Here is a 23096-nt window from a genome sequence, read left to right on the forward strand (position 1 = left end):
TAATGAAAGAATCTGAAGTAAAGGAAAGAACTATGGGATTGAAATGGGGTGCTGGGAGCAAATTTCTCTAGAATCTGAACTCTCTTCAACCTTTGATCAAATGGGGTCAGACTCCATCCTAGGGAACTGAGAAGGGCCTGGGAGACATAAATATGCCAACTCACCTGTGTAGGTTTACAGTTTACAACATTACCTTGGGTTTCACAACTCAACTGCAAGAAAGGAATTAGCATCCCCATTTTTTTTAAACCAGTGTTTTCATATCCTTTATTCCCAAGTCAGTGTATTTGTCAGTTTGAATGTTACATGTATGATAAAACAGATTATGAAAAGCATACTAACGAGAACATTATTTTATATAACTGATCATTGAATATGCAACCTCTTGCAACAATAACTTAATGGACCCAACTCTACCTTCTAAATGGACCAATTTTATGATTCTCCTAAAATGTTTTGAGTTGGGTATAGTTTCTTGTTGCTTCTTCCTGTGATCCAAAGCTTAAAAATGAGGCTGGGCACAATAGCTCAAGCCTGTCATCCCAGCACTTTAGGAGGCCAAGGTAGGAGGATCACTTGAGATCAGGAGTTTGAGACCAGCCTGGCCAACATGGTGAAACCCCATCTCTACTGAAAATACAAAAATTAGCCGGGCGTGGTGGTGCACACCTGTAATCCCAGCTACTCAGGAGGCTGAGGCAGGAGAATCGCTTTAACCTCAGAGGCAGAGGTTGCGGTAAGCTGAGATCGTGCCTCTGCACTCCAGCCTGGGCAACGGAGCGAGACTCCGTCTCAAAAAAAAAAAAAGGAATGAATCTCTGGAAACTAGCAATTAGAGCCAGACCTCCCTAGGACCAAGGAGACAGGAGTTGGAGAAAAAGACACTACAGGTGATGCCCACAGTCTCAAGCACTGTGGCATATGCTTGACCTCAGAGCATTCCAGTACTCAAGGTCAAGTGTGGCACCATCCGTATATCCTGTCATCGCAAATGCCCGCAACTGCTACAATTAACAGGATATGGGAGAGAGGAGGCACATCATGTGAGGAGGAATGAATCGCTCCCAACAATTATGTGAACATTTCGAAAATTTCTTTTTTTTTTTTTTTGAGATGGAGTCTGGCTCTGTCCCCCAGGCTGGAGTGCAGTGGCGCGATCTTGGCTCTCTGCAAGCTCCGCCTCGTGGGTTCACGCCATTCTCCTGCCTCAGCCTCCCGAGTAGCTGGGACTACAGGCGCCTGCCACCATGCCCGGCTAATTTTTTGTATTTTTAGTAGAGGCGGGGTTTCACCGTGTTAGCCAGGATGGTCTCGATCTCCTGACCTCGTGATCCGCTCGTCTCAGCCTCCCAAAGTGCTGGGATTACAGGCGTGAGCCACCGCGCCCGGCCAACATATCGAAAATTTCAATACCAAGGATTAACTTCTAAAATACAACTTTATATGCTAGTGCATGCCCGTAGTCCAAGCTGTTCAGGTGGCTGGGGCGGGAGAATTGCTTGAGCCCAGGAGTTCAGGGCTGCAGTGAGCCGTGTTAACGCCACTGCACTCCAGCCTGGGTGACAGAGTAAGGCCCTGTCTCAAAAAAATGAAATAAACTGGCCGGGTGCGGTGGCGTGCGCCTGTAATTCCAGCTACTCAAGAGGCTGAGGCACAAGAATCGTTTGAACCCGGTAGGCAGAGGTTGTAGTGAGCTGAGATCACACCACTGCAGTCCAGCCTGGGCCACAGAGACCCTGTCTCAAAAATAAATGCATGCAAGTTTGTAGACAGAAGCTATACAGCTAGCCATTCAATAAAATGCATGTGCAATATGGTGGAGCTGTTGTGAACATCCCCATTTGAATGCTGGGCAAACAGAGTAGTTCAAGGTCCCCAGTGCAGCAGGTCCTACTCATTTCAGAAGGGAACTCTGCAGAAACTATGCCCATCTGGGCAGAGCCCCCACTCCACTGGCCTGAGAGCCACGAATCCGGCGCGCGTCCTCCCCACCTTGCCCGCCAGGGGGCGGCAAGTCCCTGATCCGGGGTCGCCTGCTGCAGAGCTGGTGGGAGATGGTTGAGGGGCGTGGGTGGGTCAGCGTTCCTTGGGGACCCGTGAAGCCTGGGCTTAGGGCTCACAGCGTGGGTCCCCAGCACAGACAGGAGGCGGACAGCTTCCCGTGAACTGCAGGGGAGTCCCGGGACGCTGTCCTCCAGCGAGGTGGGGACCGGCTATGTCCCTCAGTTCCCCCTCGGTCCTCGGGCCACAGGGACATTAGACTAGGGGGTCAGTTCTGCCAGCCCTGCCCAGGCCTCTTCTGACCAGAGGAGCTGCGACGGACGCGGAGTTCAGGCCCCTTGGCGACCGCGGTCTCCTGAACTCGGCCCCTTCCCTGCTCCCATGGGGAAGAACCCTGCCCCTAGAACAGCCTCCCCTCCAGGTGTCTTCCCTACGCTACCCCTCCGCCGGCCGGGAACTCCGCCAGGCCTAGAGACGCCGACCCGGCCCTTTCTAGCTCCTCCCCGGCTCGGACCTGGTTCCCGCCCTCGGCCGCCCGCCAGTTCCCGAGGCGTACACGTGTAGATCCCGTCACGCCCGGAAGTCTCGCGTTTCTCAAACGCCTCGCGCAGTCGCCCTTGCGCTCAGGGAAGGGGCGGGGCGAACGGAAGCCGGGAAGGCGATTCATAGCTCGCGGGGTACGGGCGCGCGTGCGCACTCCGCAGCCCGTTCAGGACCCCGGCGCGGGCAGGGCGCCCACGAGCTGGCTGGCTGCTTGCACCCACATCCTTCTTTCTCTGGGACCTGGGGTCGCGGTTACTTGGGCTGGCCGGCGAACCCTTGAGTGGCCTGGCGGGGAGCGGGCCTCGCGCGCCTGGAGGGCCCTGTGGAACGAAGAGAGTAAGCACGGGAGGGGCGGCGGAGGGGCGCGAGTTTGAGGGCGACGCGATGAATGAATCGGAACGGGGGGTGGGGAGACGCGGGATCTGGAGGTGAGTGGGAGAGGACGAGGGGCCGGAAGGAAACAGGGACATCGAGTGTGTCCCTTCTCGGGTGCACCCTTTATTTTTGTTTTTGTTTTTGTTTGAGACAGAGGCTTGCTCTGTTTCCCAAGCTAGAGTGCAGTGGCGGGCGCGATCACGGCTCACTGTAGCCTCGAACTCCCGATCTCAAGCGATCCTCCCCCCTCGGCCCGGGTAATTAAAAAAATTTTTCTTAAGACAGGGTCTTGCTATGTTGCCCAGGCTGATCTCAAACACCCGGGCTCCAGTGATCCTCCCGCCTCGACCTTCCAAAGTGCTGAGGTTACAGGCGTGAGCCACTGCCCGGCCAGGTGCACCCTTTGTACAGGAAAAGGGGTAGGAAAGGCTTCGAGGTCCCTCTGAGCCCTCTGATCGCGTCCCTTTCCCACGCCAGGGCACACAGCATGGCAGAAAACCGAGAGCCCCGCGGTGCTGTGGAGGCTGAACTGGATCCAGTGGAATACACCCTTAGGAAAAGGCTTCCCAGCCGCCTGCCCCGGAGACCCAATGACATTTATGTCAACATGAAGACGGACTTTAAGGCCCAGCTGGCCCGCTGCCAGAAGCTGCTGGACGGAGGGGCCCGGGGTCAGAACGCGTGCTCTGAGATCTACATTCACGGCTTGGGCCTGGCCATCAACCGCGCCATCAACATCGCGCTGCAGCTGCAGGCGGGCAGCTTCGGGTCCTTGCAGGTGGCTGCCAATACCTCCACCGTGGAGCTTGTTGATGAGCTGGAGCCAGAGACCGACACACGGGAGCCACTGACTCGGATCCGCAACAACTCAGCCATCCACATCCGAGTCTTCAGGGTCACACCCAAGTAATTGAAAAGACACTCCTCCACTTATCCCCTCCGTGATATGGCTCTTCGCATGCTGAGTACTGGACCTCGGACCAGAGCCATGTAAGAAAAGGCCTGTTCCCTGGAAGCCCAAAGGACTCTGCATTGAGGGTGGGGGTAATTGTCTCTTGGTGGGCCCAGTTAGTGGGCCTTCCTGAGTGTGTGTATGCGGTCTGTAACTATTGCCATATAAATAAAAAATCCTGTTGCACTAGTGTCCTGCCATCCCACTGCCACTGATTCTTTCCTGTGTAAATTCTGTGTGTGCCTGAATAGGGATGGTAGGAAACGCTACAGGTATCTAGGTGAAAGGGGAACCCAAGTGTTTCTTGCCTCTATAGAGAGCATAGATTATGCTATGAGCAGTGTAACAAAACAGTACAGTGCAGAAACCCAGTCATCCCAATGTTTGTTTGTTTGTTTGTTTTTTGAGACAGAGTCTCACTCTGTCACCCAGGCTGGAGTGCAGTGGTGCAATCTTGGCTCACTGCAAGCTCCACCTCCTGAGTTCACGCCATTCTCCTGCCTCAGCCTCCTGAGTAGCTGGGACTACAGGTGCCTGCCACCACACCCTGGCTAATTTTTTTGTATTTTTAGTAGAGACAGGGTTTCAGCGTGTTAGCAGGGATGTTCTCGATCTCCTGACCTTGTGATCCACCCATCTCGGCCTCCCAAAGTGCTAGGATTACAGGCGTGAGCCACCGTGCCCAGCCCCAATGTTTGTTTTAAAGATTTTCGTCTTCTAGTTGGGTGCAGTGGCTCCAGCCTGTAGTCTGAGCTACTGGCGGAGGCTGAGGCGGAAAGAGTGCTTGAGCCTGGGAGTTTGAAGGTGCAGTGAGTTATGATCATGCCACCTGCACTCCAATCTAGATGACATACTGAGACCTAGTCTATGCAAAAAAACCACTTTTTTTTTTTTTCTGAGATGAAGTCTTGCTCTGTCACCCAGGCTGGAGTACAGTGGTGCCATCTTGGCTCACTGCAACGTTCGGCTCCTGGGTTCAAGTGATTCTCCTGCTTCATCCTCCCCAGTAGCTGGAATTACAGGTGAGTGCCACCACGCCCAGCTAATTATTTTTGTATTTTTTTAGTGGAAACACCATGTTGGCCAGGCTGTTCTCGAACTCCTGACCTCAAGTGATCTGCCCGCCTTGGCCTCCCAAATGCAAAAAATTTTTGAAAACTAGATGGGTGTAGTGGTTTGCACCTATAATCCCAGCTACCTCGTTAGCTGAGGCAGGAGGATCGCTTGAGCCCAGGAGTTCAAGGCTGCAGTGAGCTGTGATCACCGCACTACACTCCTCCAGCCTTGCTGACACAGCAAGACCGTATCTCAAAAAAAAAAAAAAAAAAAAAAAGGAAGCAAACTAAGACTTCAGGACCTTCTTAGTGTCAGGCTCCATGGTAGGGACTGACAAGTGGCTTCATTTAATTCCTGGACCTGCAGGGCCTACCTAGATGATACCCGGGCTTTCAGGTGCAGAGCCCTTCAGACCCTTTTTTTTTTTTTTTTTTTTTTTTGAGACAGCTTCACTCTGTCATCCAGGCTGGAGTGCAGTGGTGCGATCTCAGCTCACTGCAACCTCTGCCTCCTGGGTTCAAGGGATTCTTCTGCCTCAGCCTCCTGAGTAGCCGGGACTATAGGCATCCATCACCATGCCCTGCAATTTTTTGTATTTTTAGTAGAGAAGGGGTTTCACCATGTCAGCCAGGCTGGTCTCAAACTTCTGACCTGAAGCGTTCTGCCTGCCTTGGCCACCCAAAGTGCTGGGATTACAGGCATGAGCCACTGCGCCCGGCCTTCAGACCCTTCTCACTGGGCTGCTCCAGTGGCGAAGGAACCCCTCACTCCAAATAATTACTGGGCACACAGGTAATACTTTCTGTTTGGATATTTGTGGGATGACCTGATTTTTCATATTTATCAAACTAAAGTCAACTAAAGCAATGTTTATCAAAGCGGGTTGTGACCCATTTGTGGGTCACAGCTTCTTAAAAAAAGAAAAAGCCAGGCGCGGTGGCTCACGCCTGTAATCCCAGCACTTTGGGAGGCTGAGGCGGGCAGATCACGAGGTCCAGAGATCAAGACCATCCTGGCTAACATGGTGAAACCCTGTCTCTACTAAAAATACAAAAAATTAGCCAGGCGTGGTGGCACATGCCTGTAGTTCCAGCTACTCTAGAGGCTGAGGCAGGAGAATCGCTTGAACCAGGGAGGCGGAGGTTGCAGAGAGCCGAGATTGTGCCACTGCACTCCAGCCTGGGCGACAGAGCGAGTCCGTCTCAAAAAACAAAAACAACAACAAAAAAAATAAGGCTGGGTGTGGTGGCTCACGCCTATAATCCCAGCACTTTGGGAGGCCGAGGCAGGTCAGTCTCTTGAGCGCAGGAGTTCGAGACCAGCCTAGGCAACATGGCGAAATCCCATCTCTACAAAAAATATAAAAAGTTATCTGGGCATGGTGGCACAAAACTGTGGTCCCAGCTACTTGGGAGGCTGAGGTGGGAGGATGACCTGAGCCCAGGAGGGGGAGGTTGCAGTGAGCTGAGATCACGCCAGTGCACTCCAGCCTGGGCGACAGAGCAAGACCTTGTCTAAAAAAAGAAAAGAAAAAGAAAAAAGAACCCAAGTTTTAAAAAAAGTGCAACTTAAATGGTGGTGTTTTTATTGCAGATGTTTTTGTTTTTTTTGAGGCAGAGTCTCTATCTCCTAGGCTGGAGTTCAGTAGCACAATCTTGGCTCACTGCAACCTCTGCCTCCCAGGTTCAAGCGATTCTCCTGTCTCAGCCTCCTGAGTAGCTGGAATTATAGGCGTGTGCCACCACGCCTGGCTAATTTTTGTATTTTTAGTAGAGATGGGGTTTCGCCATGTTGTCCAGGCTGATTTCAAACTCCTGACCTCAGGTGATCCACCCACCTCAGCCTCCCAAAATGCCGGGATTACAGGTGTGAGCCACTAGGCCTGGCCAGCAAATTTTTCAGTTAGGCATGTGTGTATATATATATATATATATATATGTACTATAATAGGATGTACATTGTGTTTTTTACCGTTTGAGGTCATAAGAGTTTAAGAGCCTCTGATTTACAGGTTAGGAACAGAATTTCACTCTAATTCAAGGAAGGTAGTTTGGTTTGGAGGTCTGAAGATCAGTCTTCTAATTCATCAAAATCCCTTCCTCTGGCATCTGCGTATGAAATGGTCCCTATGTTCAAGGAGCTCGCCATCTAATTGGGAAGGTGGACACATAATTTTTTGTGAATGAGTAAGATGTGTGAGACATAAGAGTAGCAATGATAAGGAAATGTGGAGATGGAAAGGGCTAATAACTTCCTGGTGGGACCCAAAATGGTTTCACTCACCTTTGATCTGGGTGTTGAAGGATGTATAGGAGTTTGCCAGGCAGAAAAGAAGGGAGATGGCATATTTGGCAGAGAGATCACAGTGGGGCGGGGAGATGGGTGGATTTGGCTGGGAATGGTGGCCATGCCTGTAATCCCAGCACTTTGGAAGGCCGAAGAGAGAAAATTGCTAGAGCTCAGGAGTTTGAGACCAGCCTGGGCAATAGAGTAAGACTTTGTCTCTATCAAAAATTTAAAAATTAACTGGGCTTGGCGGTGTGCACCTGTGGTCCAGCTACTCAGGAGGCTGAGGTGGGAGGATTGCTTGAGCCCAAGAGGTTGAGGCTGCAGTAAGCCGTGACTGAGGGCTTGTGAAACAGCAAGAACCTGTCTCAAAAAACAGTGGGCAGGGAGGGGATTAATGAATAGGCAGCTACGTTCTGGGACTGGAGGGACTCGAGGTGGCTAGAAAGCAAGAGGTACTGGGAGACAAGGCTGCAGACATTTCTTTTTTTTTTTTTTTTTTTTGAGACAGAGTCTCTATCGCCAGGCTGGAGTGCAGTGGCGTGATCTTCGCTCACTGCAACCTCCGACTCCCTGGTTCAAGCGATTCTCCTGCCTCAGCCTCCCAAGTAGCTGAGTAGCTGGGATTACAGGTGCGCACCACCACACCCAGCTAATTTTTGTATTTTTAGTAAAGACGGGGTTTCACCATGTTGGCCAGGATGGTCTCGATCTCCTGACCTCGTGATCTGCCCGCCTACGGCCTCCCAAAGTGCTGGGATAACAGGCGTGAGCCACCGTACCTGGCTGGCTGCGGACATTTCTATCAGGCCACATCCTTTCCATCAGCCTGACTGCAAGGCTTCCTTGCCCGGGAGCCCCCCAGTAGCCGAGCGGGGAGCCGGCAGGAAGCTGGATGGAGCTGTGTCTCCCTGCACGTATGTGCTCCGGGCCTGAGCCCAGCAGAGGTGGTGGCAGGCAGCCTTTCCCATCTGGTTTGTTTTGGCAGTTCCCTCCTGCAGCCTATTTGTTTGTTGTTTCTACTCCATGTTTTCTCACTGCTTGCCAGTGGGGCTTCCCTCAGTGGCAGTTCTGCAGAAACAGACCTCCACATTGCCACTGAAGGAAGAGTGGGGCCTGGGGCTCACTCTTTTGTGTGTGGGGGGGCGTGAACCAGGCTCCTGCATCTACTAGAGTCCATGCAGGGCAGGTGGGGCAGGGAACCCTGCCTGCAGGCCCGACCGTAGGGAGGCTAGCTCCAGCCTCTGTTCTCCTCCCTCTACTGGCTCTCCAAAGTGACTTCCATCAAAGCTTGGGAGGCCAGAAACAGTGAGCCACGTCTCTTTGTAATCCCAGCACTTTGGGAGGCCCAGGCAGGCAGATCACCTGAGGTTAGGAGTTCAAGACCAGCCTGGCCAACATGGTGAAACCCCGTCTCTACTGAAAATACAAAATTAGCTGGGCGTGGTGGCAGGCGCCTGTAATCCCAGCTACTCAGGAGGCTGAGGCAGGAGAACTGCTTGAACCCGGGAGGTGGAGGTTGCAGTGCACCAAGATTGTGCCATTGCACTCCAGCCTGGGTGACAGAGGGAGACTCAGTCTCAAAAAGAAAAAAGCTTGAAAAACGGGAGAGGGGTGAGGAGATGGAGGCAGAAGGTGTGTGCAAATGCAATGCCCTGCCCTCCTTTTTACATTTTATTTATTTATTTATTTATTTTAGAGACAGGGTCTCACTCTGTAGCCTAGGCTGGAGTGCAATGGTACAATCATAGCTCACTGCAACCTCAAACTTCTAGGCTCAAGCAATCCTGCCTCAGCCTCCCAGGTAGTTAGGACTACAGGCAAAAAAAAAAAAAAAAGAGCTACTATTGTTTTCTTTGTTTGTTTATCTGTTTGTTTTGAGACGGAGTTGTGCTCTTGTTGCCCAGGCTGGAATGCAATGGCGTGATCTCAGCTCACTGCAACCTCCGCCTCCTGGATTCAACTGATTCTCCTGCCTCAGCCTCCTGAGTAGCTGGGATTACAGGCACGTTCCACCAAGCCCGGCTACTTTTTGTATTTTTAGTAGAGGCAGGGTTTCTCCGTGTTTGCCAGGCTGGTCTCGAACTCGTGACCTCAGGTGATCCGCCTGCCTCAGCCTCCCAAAGTTCTGAGATTACAGGCGTGAGCCACTGCGCCCGGCCAAGAGCTAGTATTGTTTAGTATGAAGCCATTTTGCTAAGAAATGGTTTTAGGCTTCTTAATAGGAATGGGGAGAAGTGAAGGAAGGCAATTTTGTGTGCGTTTAATTCTCAAGTCTGAGTTATTAGTAGAAACTAACAACTGAGCCAGACTCAGTTGTGGCTCGCATAGCAGGGAAGGGGACGGGACCTTGAAATATTAAGTGGTTTGATCAGGCTGATGATCCTGCTAGAGAAGCCCAGCACTTTGTCCCAGGTGAGTTTCTGGTGCTTGGTCAGGAGTTGAGGGAAAAATGGTGTTTCACAAACCCTCAAACCACTAGAGAGGTTGGACGAGAACGTGTCAATTGTAGTTCCTTAGGAAACAGATGTCCAATTGCACAGAGATTTGGGATGAGGCAAAGGTCATCCTACCAGAAGGAAGCCTGTGAAAATGGCCACTTAAGGTCCCAAGACCCTAATGACATTATGGGTGTTTTTCAGTTTATGTGTTTGAGTTTAGCGCTGTTTTCTAATTTTGGTCACGTATTGTTTTTGTAATGAGCAAAAGTTCATCATAAAAGTTGCTTTTTTTTTTTTTTTGAGACAGAGTCTGGCTCTGTCGCCCAGGCTGGAGTCCAGTGGCACAATCTTGGCTCACCGCAACCTCCGCCTCTCGAGTTCAAGTGATTCTTCTGCCTCAGCCTCCTGAGTAGCTGGGACTATAGGTGTGCGCCACCATGCCCAGCTAATTTTTGTATTTTTAGCAGAGATGGGGTTTCACCATATTGGCCAGGCTGGTCTTGAACTCCTGACCTCGTGATCCGCCCGTCTCAGCCCCCAAAGTGCTGGGATTACAGGCGTGAGCCACCGTGCCCGGCCTAAGTGAGCTCTTCTGCTCGTGTCTTAGTTCATCAACCAGCAAATAATTTTTCCCTTTTCAGGGAAGTATATTTGTCTAATAGCAAACAAGACTAATAGACTGAGTTGGAAGGAATCTAGCAGGTCCTGTGAAGGCGAAAGTCCACCCTCTGTTTGCATTCTTCAAGTGACAAGACGGTTGCCTTTTCTTAAGGGAGCAGAGGCTTGTTATAGAGGAGACAGCAAGCCATTCTCCTCTGCATCATCCATGTATCCACTGACCCATTCATTCATCAGATATTTATTAGTTAGTGGAACGGGCAATAAAATAACTTCTTGAGGTATCTCATCAGTTTTATTTTTACTTATTTAGAGATGGGTCTTGCTCAGTTCCCCAGGCTCGAGTGCAGTGGCATGATCATAGCTCACTGCAACCTCGACCTCCTAGGTTCAAATGATCATCCTTCCTCAGCCTCCCAAGTAGCTGTGACACCAGGCATGTGCCGCCATGCCTGGCTAACTTCTTTATTTTTTATATAAAAAATATAACTCTATAAAAAATAACTTCTTTATTTTTTATAGAGCCAGGGTCTCACTGTGTTGCCCCGGCTGGTCTTGAACTCCTGGCCTCAAATGATCACCTTAGCTTTCCAAAGTGCTGAAATTATAGGTGTGAGCCACCTCACCCGGCCCCTCATCAGTTTGATAACTAACTCCTTGATCACCTTACTTAGAGAACAAAGGATCAGTCAGGAATAGGCTTCATAAAACTTTGGTAGGCCAGGTGCGGTAAAGGATTTTCCTTTGAGGACTTTGGCAAAGGATTTTCCTTTGGTTCTCCAGCAGGAATCCCTTCTTCAGCATCTTTTTTTTTTTTTAAGAAAGGGTGTTGTTCTTTCGCCCAGGCTGGAGTGCAGTGGTGCGATCATAGCTAACTGCAGCTTCCAACTCCTGGGCTCAAGCAATCCTCCAACCTCAGCCTCCCGAGTAGCTGGGACTACAGGCATGTGCCAGCATGCCTAACAAATTTTCTGTAGAGACAGGGTCTCCCTATGTTGCCCAGACTGGTCTCAAACTCCTGGGCTCAAGGGATCCTCCCTCCTTAGCCTCCTAAAGTGCTGGGATTCCAGGCGTGAGCTACCGTGCCTGGCCCTCCAGCATTCTTGCTTCCTTCACAGTTCCCCAAAGGCCACCCAACAAGGTCCCCAGCCACCTCCCCTCCCAGCACAGAAGGTCTTCTGGGCCTCTGGCTGAACTCGAGCTGAGCTGAGAAGCCACTGCTTGGAAATGAGGAGGGAAAGAGAAGCCAGGAGGCCCCCCTTCCCAAGTCCGACTCCAGGCAGCTGGGGCTCCGTGCTGCCTGGGGGTCTGGGACAGCTCGGGGGGCTGTAAATTTGCTTCTGCTTGGATTTCCAATCTGAATCCACTGCCAGGAGGAATCCGTGGAGCAGAGCCTGCCTCCACACCCGCCATCCTCCTGTCACAACTGGCCCTTTTCAAACCCTGCCTCAGTGGCTGCCTGCTCAGGAAGTGCATGGAAGCTTCACACGCCCCAGGATCCCAGGGAGCTGGGTTGACCGGGGGATGGCTCAGTGCCCCCTCTAGGTTGGGTTCTTCTCTGAGCATGTAGTGGAGGGACCACATAATGCAATCCACACTTGGGTGGTTACCACAGAAAAGGGACATGCTGGACGCTTGGTAGACAGAAAAATGCATCAGAACTTCCATACGCAGCCCTTCGCTCTCTTCGATGACTAGGGCACCTGCACTACGTGACTCCAGACGGTACCATTCCCTTCAGAGTCTCTATGGATGCCCCTGGGAGTTGGGCAGTGCTCATCTTTGACGGCTGTCCATGGCGGTCCTGCCAGTGAGATGCCTAAGACATGTACATAAATGACGGCAGTGCCAGGGAAGGAGACGATTTCCTGCTGGGAGATCAAGAAAGGCTTCATGGAGGAGGCGATGCACAGATTTGGGCTTTAAAGAAAACGAGGAGATGGTGTGGGAGGGTAATCCAGGATGAGCCAAGGGCAGGAAGGCACAAACCATCTCCTGTGGTGGAGGGAGTGGGAGTGAGCAAAGCGGGAGAACAGCCTGGAACATGAAGTGAATGGTAGACCTTGGAGGGTCTCAGTTCTGAGGCAATAGGAAGCCGTGACAGGTTCCTGCTCAGGGAATTAGCACAAATGAGGCTGTTCAGTGGGAAAGTTAATTGAGCAGCAGGGTTAGGGATTAACTGGAGGGGTCAATGAGGAGATGCTCTGCAGTGGTCCTGGGCCTGTGGGTCAGCATCTGCTAGAAGATGAAGAGCAGGCAGATGACGGGGGTGGGGGGCACTGGGCAGGGGGATGGTGGGCATTGGTCGGGGAGCCCCATGGAGCTTCTTGTTTTCTTCCTGTTCCTCAAGGACAGATGAATGGACCCTGCATTGCTCAGTATCCAAGAGGCTCTGGGCTCCAAACCAGCCTCTCCCCTCTTAGCAGAATTACTATGGCTTCAAGCCGGGTGTGGTGGCTCACGCCTGTAATCCCAGCACTTTGGGAGGCCGAGGCGGGCGGATCACTTGAGGTTGGGAGTTCGAGACCAGCCTGGCCAACATGGCGAAACCCCATCTCTACTGAAAATACAAAAATTACCGGGCGTGGTGGCACATGCCTGTAATTCCAGCTACTCGGGAGGCTGAGGCAGGAGAATTGCTTGAACCCGGGAGGTGGAGGTTGCAGTGAGCTGAGATAATGGCACCACTGCACTCCAGCCTGGGCAATAGAGTGAGACTCCATCTCAAAAAGAGAATTACTATGGCTTCGGATTGGGTATGGGGTGGACCAAGATCCTCTCCTCCCTCCCAAGCTGCAATCACAGCTCTCTCTCCAGAAGCCCCAGGGGACAAGGCAGTCACTACTCCTATCCAGCAGGCTACAGCATTTAGAGGCTGGTGCCCCTGGCCCATCTCTCACTCCTCTTCAACTGCAGACAAGGATGCAGGGACCCCCGAGAAGCTGTGTGAGGGGAGGGGCAGGTCCCACAGCCCAAAAGGCTCCTCCTCCTCCAGCTGTGTCCACCCCACCCATCTGTCTCCGGCCCCCTCTCCATGGTTAGGTCAGGGCATTGACGCAGGAGTCAGGGTCCTGGGAGAGCAGAGGCTGGGGAAGGGGAGCAGCCAAGACAGAACGCACGTGCGGCCATGTGTGGATGTGAGTGTGATGGTGCACGTCCCAGGACTCTGGAAGGGATCAGAACCAGGAGCCGAGTGGGGCTGGGGGAGCCTGGACAGCAGTTTTGGGAAGGCTCAAGGTGAGCAGAGGATGCAGGGGAGCAGGGTCTGAGGGAATTAGGCCAGCCAGAAGCATACCAGCCTCTGTCTCCTGACCCCCACCCAACCATCTTGCCAAACCACTCATTTTTTCTTTTTTTTTTTTGAGACAGGGTCTCCCTTTGTTGCCCAGTCTAGAGTGCAGTGGCGTGATCATAGCTCACTGCAGCCTCAACCTCCCGGGCTCAAGAGATCCTCTGACCTCAGCCTCCTGAGTAGCTGGGACTACAGATGTGCACCACCATGCCCAGCTAGCTAAACAAAAATAAAAATTATAGACATGGGATCTCACTATGTTGCCCAGGCTGGTCTCAAACTCCTGGCCTCAAGCAATCCTCCTGCCTCAGCCTCCCAAAATGTTGGGATTACAGGTGTGAGCCACTACACTTGGCCCAAATCCCCCTCCCATCAAGCTCTTCACCTCACCACACCCTCATGGTCCCTCACCCCCAACAGGTCTTTATTCAAGTCAGTTTCTCAGCCTAGTGTCTCTGACTACCTTATTTTAGATAACCCTGCCTGTGCCTTTTCTCCTTAGTTCTGGCTATTTGAAATCCTCTATCTTTTCTTTTCTTTTCTTTCTTTTTTTTTTTTTTTTTTGAGACAGGGTCTCATTCTGTTGCCCAGGGTGGAGTGCAGTAGCAAAACCACAGCTCACTGCAGCCTCAACTTCCTGGGCTGAAGTGATCCTCCCACCTCAGCCTCCCAAGTAGCTGGGACTATAGGCACATGCCATCATGCCCAGCTAATTTTTGTATTTTTTTGTAAAGATGGGGTTTCACCATGTTGCCCAGGCTGGTCAAGCCAACTCCTGGGCTCAAGTGATCCTCTTGCCTTGGCCTCCCGAAGTGCTGGGATTACAGGCATGAGCCACCTCACCCAGCCAAAATCCTCTGTCTTGTACCCATTTTTGTGTTCATCATTGGCAACCCCACTAGAACATCAGCTCCACCAGGGCAGGCATTCCTGGCTGTATCATTCACTGCTCTATCCCCAGGTCCTTGGCCAGGGGTAGGTAGGAAATCCATAAATATCTTTTGAATGAATGAGTGAATGTTTCCCACTCTTTCCAAACAAAATCCAAATTCTTCAGAGAGGCATTCAAGGCCATAGACAGCCTGACTCCTCCCTAAGCAGCACCCTGGCCTCATCTTCCACCTCTCTCTTCTCCATCTTCCCTTCTGCTCACCTGTAGGGAGACCCCCTGAAACTACTGCTACGGAATAAAAGATGAAATGCTCCTGATTATTGTAAATACAAAATTGCATGCAGGATTGTGTACAAACAATGCCAGGTTGGACTGCCAGAATGAGCCAACAGCCTGTGATGTGCTTCCGCCTGCGGAGAGCCTATGAACGGACCTGCAGTCAGGGAGGTTTCACATCACCAAGATTTCTATCCCAGAAAAGCAGATGTTCATAGCTCTGGGAATGGAATGCGACCCTTGTGGAGAGCCTATAAACGGACGCATGGGGGCGGGGGGCACCTGTCCATATGGATAAGATAGGGCTATAAACGCCCTCATCTTGCCATGGCTCTTCTAGGCCTCTTTAGGGTTAAGGCATACTCCCTTCTGAGAATTTCTGGTCTAACTGGTTGTCTAGCTTCATGTCCTGTTTCCATGGATTGTCTGTAACCAGCTTTTGTTGCAATTGTTACTGCTGATTAGTATCTTGCTAATCATAGGTTATGGAAAGATTGTGTTTCTGTTTTAAGGCTCTGTTAGAAATTACTGATGCACACACTATATTGTAAATTCTTATCTCTGTATACTGTACTTCTGCATACAAATGTACTGTACTTCTACATATAAATGTTATGTTAAAGAATTAATTCATCCCCATGTGACCATCTCACCTCATAATCAAATGACCCTAAATCCCTCACTAACCTACCCCCGCCCTCACTAAACTTAATAATAAATGATGGTACATCTGGTGCATTGTTGACACCACGGGACCAGAAGGCGGTGACCCCCCGGACCAGCTTTCACTATCTTGTGTGTGTCTATTATTTCTCAACCTGCTGATCCGCCTGGGAACAAAGAGAGAGCCCTGTTGCATTGCGGGCTGCTGGCCAGATCCCGCAATACTCACCTGACTCTCCATTCACTTTGCTGAATCGACAATCCCCCACCCACCTCATACCTCTTCCCATTGATGTCCTACCCCCCTTCAAGGCTGAGGTCATTGTCACCTCCTCCCTCAAATCTTTCTTGATTTCTCCCGGCTAACTCTTACAGCTCAGATCTACACATTCCAGTCTTTTTTTGTTTTTGAGACAGGCTCTCACTCTGTCGCCCAGGCTGCAGTGCAGTGGCACGATCATGGCTCACTACGGCCTCGAACTCCTGGGCTCAGGTGATCCTCCTGCCTTAGCCTCCTGCATATTTGGGACTACAGGCGTGAGCCACCACACCTGACTAATTATTTTTTATTTATTTATTTATTTTAGAGACAAGGTCTTGCCATGTTGTCCGGGCTGGTCTCGAACTCCTGGGCTCAAAGGATCTTCCTGCCTTGGTCTCCCAAAGTGCTGGGATTATAGGTGTCAGCTGCGGCGCCTGGACCTTTCCTGTCTTTTATGAAACCTGAATGGGATAGGCTGGTAGTTTCACCACACCCATTTGACAGATGAGGACATTGAGGGCTCAAGGACGAGGCCACTTTCTAAGGTGTGAGAGACCAGCTAGTCTTGGTCTCCTGCTCTGGGAATCTCACTCCTCTGGCTCAGGGTTTCCAGAAGCCATAAAACCTTAGCTGTAAATCCCAGCCCCCATCACTCTTGGTGTTAGCTGTATTTCAGTGTTCTTAAGAACTCAGCAATGCAGCCTAGCTAACCTACACCACAGGTCAAATAAACAGATGTCAAGGTGCATGTGTGTCCTGCACAATGGACTGTGTGCTCTGTGCACTAAAAGTTAAGTGTCTGGGGTGGGGGCTGGGTGCGGTGGCTCACGCCTGCAATCCCAGCACTTTGAGAGGCCGAGGAGGGTGGATCACCTGAGGTCAGGAGTTCAAGACCGGTATGGGCAATATGGCAACACCCCATCTCTACTAAAAATACAAAACATAGCCGGGTGTAAAGGTGTGCCTGTAGTCCCAGCTGCTCCAGAGGCTGAAGCAGGAGAATTGCTTGAACCCAGGAGGCAGAGGTTGTAGTGAACGGGAGATGGCACCACTGCACTGCCTGGGCAACATAGGGAGGCTACATCTCCAGAAAAAAAAAAAAAAGTTAAGTGTCTGGGTTTGCAGAGTACTAGACGGTGAGGAGTGAGGTGGGGAGGAAGAACCCCAAATTTCTTGCCCTATTTGCCCCCATCAAATTCCTCAACATGGTCAACATTGTTTCTAGAACATGTCCTGGGATTGTGGGAAGGGAGACCACTCATTTGCCCCTCCCTAAAGCTTCTGGGCTTCCAGACCCAGCTACTTTGCGGAACTCAGCAACCCAGGCATCTCTGAGTCTCCGCCCAAGACCGGGATGCCCCCCAGGGGAGGTGTCCGGGAGCCCAGCCTTTCCCAGATAGCACGCTCCGCCAGTCCCAAGGGTGCGCAACCGGCTGCACTCCCCTCCCGCGACCCAGGGCCCGGGAGCAGCCCCCATGACCCACACGCACGTCTGCAGCAGCCCCGCTCACGCCCCGGCGAGCCTCAACCCAGGCGTCCTGCCCCTGCTCTGACCCCGGGTGGCCCCTACCCCTGGCGACCCCTCACGCACACAGCCTCTCCCCCACCCCCACCCGCGCACGCACACATGCAGATAACAGCCCCGACCCCCGGCCAGAGCCGCAGAGTCCCTGGGCCACCCCGGCCGCTCGCTGCGCTGCGCCGCACCGCGCTGTCCTCCCGGAGCCGGACCGGGGCCACCGCGCCCGCTCTGCTCCGACACCGCGCCCCCTGGACAGCCGCCCTCTCCTCCAGGCCCGTGGGGCTGGCCCTGCACCGCCGAGCTTCCCGGGATGAGGGCCCCCGGTGTGGTCACCCGGCGCGCCCCAGGTCGCTGAGGGACCCCGGCCAGGCGCGGAGATGGGGGTGCACGGTGAGTACTCGCGGGCTGGGCGCTCCCGCCCGCCCGGGTCCCTGTTTGAGCGGGGATTTAGCGCCCCGGCTATTGGCCAGGAGGTGGCTGGGTTCAAGGACCGGCGACTTGTCAAGGACCCCGGAAGGGGGAGGGGGGTGGGGCAGCCTCCACGTGCCAGCGGGGACTTGGGGGAGTCCTTGGGGATGGCAAAAACCTGACCTGTGAAGGGGACACAGTTTGGGGGTTGAGGGGAAGAAGGTTTGGGGGTTCTGCTGTGCCAGTGGAGAGGAAGCTGATAAGCTGATAACCTGGGCGCTGGAGCCACCACTTATCTGCCAGAGGGGAAGCCTCTGTCACACCAGGATTGAAGTTTGGCCGGAGAAGTGGATGCTGGTAGCTGGGGGTGGGGTGTGCACACGGCAGCAGGATTGAATGAAGGCCAGGGAGGCAGCACCTGAGTGCTTGCATGGTTGGGGACAGGAAGGACGAGCTGGGGCAGAGACGTGGGGATGAAGGAAGCTGTCCTTCCACAGCCACCCTTCTCCCTCCCCGCCTGACTCTCAGCCTGGCTATCTGTTCTAGAATGTCCTGCCTGGCTGTGGCTTCTCCTGTCCCTGCTGTCGCTCCCTCTGGGCCTCCCAGTCCTGGGCGCCCCACCACGCCTCATCTGTGACAGCCGAGTCCTGGAGAGGTACCTCTTGGAGGCCAAGGAGGCCGAGAATATCACGGTGAGACCCCTTCCCCAGCACATTCCACAGAACTCACGCTCAGGGCTTCAGGGAACTCCTCCCAGATCCAGGAACCTGGCACTTGGTTTGGGGTGGAGTTGGGAAGCTAGACACTGCCCCCCTACATAAGAATAAGTCTGGTGGCCCCAAACCATACCTGGAAACTAGGCAAGGAGCAAAGCCAGCAGATCCTACGGCCTGTGGGCCAGGGCCAGAGCCTTCAGGGACCCTTGACTCCCCGGGCTGTGTGCATTTCAGACGGGCTGTGCTGAACACTGCAGCTTGAATGAGAATATCACTGTCCCAGACACCAAAGTTAATTTCTATGCCTGGAAGAGGATGGAGGTGAGTTCCTTTTTTTTTTTTTTTCCTTTCTTTTGGAGAATCTCATTTGCGAGCCTGATTTTGGATGAAAGGGAGAATGATCGAGGGAAAGGTAAAATGGAGCAGCAGAGATGAGGCTGCCTGGGCGCAGAGGCTCACGTCTATAATCCCAGGCTGAGATGGCCGAGATGGGAGAATTGCTTGAGCCCTGGAGTTTCAGACCAACCTAGGCAGCATAGTGAGATCCCCCATCTCTACAAACATTTAAAAAAATTAGTCAGGTGAGGTGGTGCATGGTGGTAGTCCCAGATATTTGGAAGGCTGAGGCGGGAGGATCGCTTGAGCCCAGGAATTTGAGGCTGCAGTGAGCTGTGATCACACCACTGCACTCCAGCCTCAGTGACAGAGTGAGGCCCTGTCTCAAAAAAGAAAAGAAAAAAGAAAAATAATGAGGGCTGTATGGAATACATTCATTATTCATTCACTCACTCACTCACTCACTCATTCATTCATTCATTCATTCAACAAGTCTTATTGCATACCTTCTGTTTGCTCAGCTTGGTGCTTGGGGCTGCTGAGGGGCAGGAGGGAGAGGGTGACATGGGTCAGCTGACTCCCAGAGTCCACTCCCTGTAGGTCGGGCAGCAGGCCGTAGAAGTCTGGCAGGGCCTGGCCCTGCTGTCGGAAGCTGTCCTGCGGGGCCAGGCCCTGTTGGTCAACTCTTCCCAGCCGTGGGAGCCCCTGCAGCTGCATGTGGATAAAGCCGTCAGTGGCCTTCGCAGCCTCACCACTCTGCTTCGGGCTCTGGGAGCCCAGGTGAGTAGGAGCGGACACTTCTGCTTGCCCTTTCTGTAAGAAGGGGAGAAGGGTCTTGCTAAGGAGTACAGGAACTGTCCGTATTCCTTCCCTTTCTGTGGCACTGCAGCGACCTCCTGTTTTCTCCTTGGCAGAAGGAAGCCATCTCCCCTCCAGATGCGGCCTCAGCTGCTCCACTCCGAACAATCACTGCTGACACTTTCCGCAAACTCTTCCGAGTCTACTCCAATTTCCTCCGGGGAAAGCTGAAGCTGTACACAGGGGAGGCCTGCAGGACAGGGGACAGATGACCAGGTGTGTCCACCTGGGCATATCCACCACCTCCCTCACCAACATTGCTTGTGCCACACCCTCCCCCGCCACTCCTGAACCCCGTCGAGGGGCTCTCAGCTCAGCGCCAGCCTGTCCCATGGACACTCCAGTGCCAGCAATGACATCTCAGGGGCCAGAGGAACTGTCCAGAGAGCAACTCTGAGATCTAAGGATGTCACAGGGCCAACTTGAGGGCCCAGAGCAGGAAGCATTCAGAGAGCAGCTTTAAACTCAGGGACAGAGCCATGCTGGGAAGACGCCTGAGCTCACTCGGCACCCTGCAAAATTTGATGCCAGGACACGCTTTGGAGGCGATTTACCTGTTTTCGCACCTACCATCAGGGACAGGATGACCTGGATAACTTAGGTGGCAAGCTGTGACTTCTCCAGGTCTCACGGGCATGGGCACTCCCTTGGTGGCAAGAGCCCCCTTGACACCGGGGTGGTGGGAACCATGAAGACAGGATGGGGGCTGGCCTCTGGCTCTCATGGGGTCCAAGTTTTGTGTATTCTTCAACCTCATTGACAAGAACTGAAACCACCAATATGACTCTTGGCTTTTCTGTTTTCTGGGAACCTCCAAATCCCCTGGCTCTGTCCCACTCCTGGCAGCAGTGCAGCAGGTCCAGGTCCGGGAAACGAGGGGTGGAGGGGGCTGGGCCCTACGTGCTGTCTCACACAGCCTGTCTGACCTCTCGACCCTACCGGGCCTGAGGCCACAAGCTCTGCCTACGCTGGTCAATAAGGTGGCTCCATTCAAGGCCTCACCGCAGTAAGGCAGCTGCCAACCCTGCCCAGGGCAAGGCTGCAGTGCGCTGAGATTGTCATCAAGGAGAGGGAGGCCAGAGGACGGGTCCTTTTGGGAGTTTTGGGGGCTGGTAACAGCTGCCAACCCTGGTCACTGGCCCTTGTTAATTTCTGCCTCTTCTTTGGTCTCTTCGGCTGATGCCACACTCCCAGCATCAGCCTTCCGCCTCAATGCACATCCTCGCTAAGTCCAGCTGCCTCCTTTACTCACCTGGGGACTGTCACCATGAATACTCGCCTCTGAAATTCACAAAAGGGGCGGTACACACAGGTGCGGTTGGAGCCACCTCTATAAACAGCATCTGCTCGGGGACAAGGGCCACTCTAGGTGGTCCATTTATATATTTGTGATTTTGTTTGTTTGTTTGTTTTTAGTGACAGTGTCTTGCTCTGTTGCCCAGGCTGGAGTGCAGTGGTGCAATCATGGGTCACTGCAGCCTCAAACTCCTGGGCTCAAGCAATCCTCTAGTCCCAGCCTCATGAGTAGATGTGACTAAAGGCATGCATCGCCATGCCCTGCTAATTTTTAAATTATTTTTATCTTATTTTTTTTAGAGATGGGGTCTTGCTATGTTGCCCAGGCTGGTCTCAAACTCTGGGTTCAAGTGATCCTCCCTCCTTAGCCTCCCAAAGTGCTGGGATTATAGGTGTGAGCCATTGCGCCTGGTTTATTCCTTCTACCTAATCCCTACCTGCTCCTTTACTCCCCTGGGGTGGGGGACATGGAACAAATGAACTCTACTTCCACTCTTGATTTCTACTTCTCATTTTCCCCTTTACTCTGACCACAACTTCAGATTCCTTCTCAAAAATAATGCTTCAGCGGGAAAGGACCACTGAGGAGGGACCTGTGCAGACAGCAAAAGCTGTCATAAAACTGTATGGGAGGCCAGGCACGGTGGCTCATGCCTGTAATCCCAGCACTTTGGGAGGCTGAGGTGGGTGGATCATCTGAGGTCAGGTGTTTGAGACCAGCCTGGCCAACGTGGTGAAACCCCATGTCTACTAAAAATACAAAAAATTAGCCGGGTGTGGTGGTGGGCTCCTGTAATCCCAGCTATTCTGGAGGCTGAGGCAGGAGAATCACTGAACCTGGGAGGCGGAGGTTGCAGTGAGCCGAGGTCGTGCCACTGGACTCCAGCCTGGGCGACAAGAGCGAAACTCTGTCTCAAAAACAAAACAAAAACAAACAAACAAAAACAACTGTATGGGACCCCGATCCTGGTTGTTATCCCATATGTGAGGGCCGGTCTTTCTGCTTGTATCATCAACTGTAGAGAAGTCAGCCTGTGTTCCCCTGCACATATGCAAACGGGAGAGAATGTTTTGCAATCCGCAGCAGGAAAAATTACGGGAAGGTTTTGGAGGTTGGAGGGTACTTGACAGGTGTGTAGGGAGCGGGGCGGTAGGTGTGGAGCTGGGATGCGAGGAGTCGCCAAAGGGGAGGACCCAAGAGAATTTTCCCTCTGTTCTAACCGGCTCGTGGGCTACAGTGCCCTCTTCAGGTCTTACTAGGAACTGCTAGAGAAACCTACAAGCGATAGATCCTTAGGGCTCTGACCTTGTACATTTCTTTTCTTTTCTTTTCTTTTCTTTTTTTTCAATGGAGTCTCACTCTGTCACTCAGGCTGGAGTGCAGTGGCGCGATCTCGGCTCACTGCAACCTCCGCCTCCCGGGTTCAAGCGATTCTCCTGCCTCAGCCTCCCGAGTAGCTGGGACTACAGACGCCTGCTAACACACCTGGCTAATTTTTTGTATTTTTAGTAGAGATGGAGTTTCACCAGGTCGACCAGGCTGGTCTCAAACTCCTGAGCTCAGAGGATCCGCCCACCTCGGCCTCCCAAAGTGTTGGGTTTACAGGCGTGAGCCACCGCGCCCGGCTGTGACCTTGTACATTTCAATACACATTTATATTGTGGTTTCCACAGATGGCATTTGATTCTTGCACCAGGAATGCTGTGAGTCAGTAAAGGAGAAATCTCCCTCTTAGGCTGCTGACATCGGAGCTAAGAGGCTTGTTCTTAAGCCGAAGGAATCTGGCTAATAAGAGACTGAGCTAGAACCTGAGCACAGGATTTAGGACTCCTAATCCCAAAGGCTGTCCACCTCTTAGCCTGATTTGTAGTCTAAGGCTCAAACATCTCATCAATGAGCAACCCGCTTTTGCCTCCCTCCTCTCCGTCTGCAGGATTCAGGGTCACTGATCTTATTCCACAACTGTCTTCAGACTTCTCACTGCTTTCAGTTTCTAAAATATAATAAAAAAATAGTAATTTTCAACCAGATGTTGTGGCTCACGCCTGTAATCCCAGCACTTTGGGAGGCTGAGGTGGGAGGATCCCTTGAGCTCAGGAGTTTGAGACCACCCTGGGCAACATAGTGAGACCCCCATCTCTACAAAAAAATTTAAACATTAGCTGGATGTGGTGGCATGCAGCTGTAGTGCCAGCTACTCAGGAGGCTGAGGTGGGAGAATCACTCAAGCCTGGGAGGTTGAGGCTGCAGTGAGCTGTGATCACACCACTGCATTCTAGCCTGGGTGACAGAGCAAGATCCC

General features: G+C 52.5%; 2 protein-coding genes across 2 annotated transcripts, besides 3 other annotated features; both read left to right on the plus strand.

The window, feature by feature from the left end:
* Positions 2036–2305: an enhancer, noted in NCBI's record as "active region_26382". NCBI's record gives its function as "activates an Ori minimal core promoter by ATAC-STARR-seq in GM12878 lymphoblastoid cells {active_cell/tissue: GM12878}" and the evidence as "EXISTENCE:reporter gene assay evidence [ECO:0000049][PMID:35858748]".
* Positions 2697–4062, plus strand: POP7 (POP7 ribonuclease P/MRP subunit). Its single transcript, NM_005837.3, has 2 exons — positions 2697–2880; positions 3397–4062. Exon 2 carries the CDS (start codon positions 3407–3409, stop codon positions 3827–3829), a length of 423 nt encoding a protein of 140 aa, NP_005828.2. The 5' UTR covers positions 2697–2880; positions 3397–3406; the 3' UTR covers positions 3830–4062.
* Positions 17044–20276, plus strand: EPO (erythropoietin). Its single transcript, NM_000799.4, has 5 exons — positions 17044–17569; positions 18134–18279; positions 18538–18624; positions 19240–19419; positions 19554–20276. Exons 1-5 carry the CDS (start codon positions 17557–17559, stop codon positions 19707–19709), a joined length of 582 nt encoding a protein of 193 aa, NP_000790.2. The 5' UTR covers positions 17044–17556; the 3' UTR covers positions 19710–20276.
* Positions 21407–21641: a silencer, noted in NCBI's record as "fragment chr7:100322454-100322688 (GRCh37/hg19 assembly coordinates)". NCBI's record gives its function as "represses an EF-1alpha promoter that drives an FKBP-Casp9 reporter gene in an ReSE screen in HepG2 liver carcinoma cells and phorbol 12-myristate 13-acetate-treated (for megakaryocytic differentiation) K562 erythroleukemia cells {active_cell/tissue: HepG2 | K562(+PMA)}" and the evidence as "EXISTENCE:reporter gene assay evidence [ECO:0000049][PMID:32094911]".
* Positions 21793–21972: an enhancer, noted in NCBI's record as "active region_26383". NCBI's record gives its function as "activates an Ori minimal core promoter by ATAC-STARR-seq in GM12878 lymphoblastoid cells {active_cell/tissue: GM12878}" and the evidence as "EXISTENCE:reporter gene assay evidence [ECO:0000049][PMID:35858748]".

The sequence above is a fragment of the Homo sapiens genome, chromosome 7 (assembly GCF_000001405.40).
Source record: "Homo sapiens chromosome 7, GRCh38.p14 Primary Assembly".
NCBI classification, from domain to species: domain Eukaryota; kingdom Metazoa; phylum Chordata; class Mammalia; order Primates; family Hominidae; genus Homo; species Homo sapiens.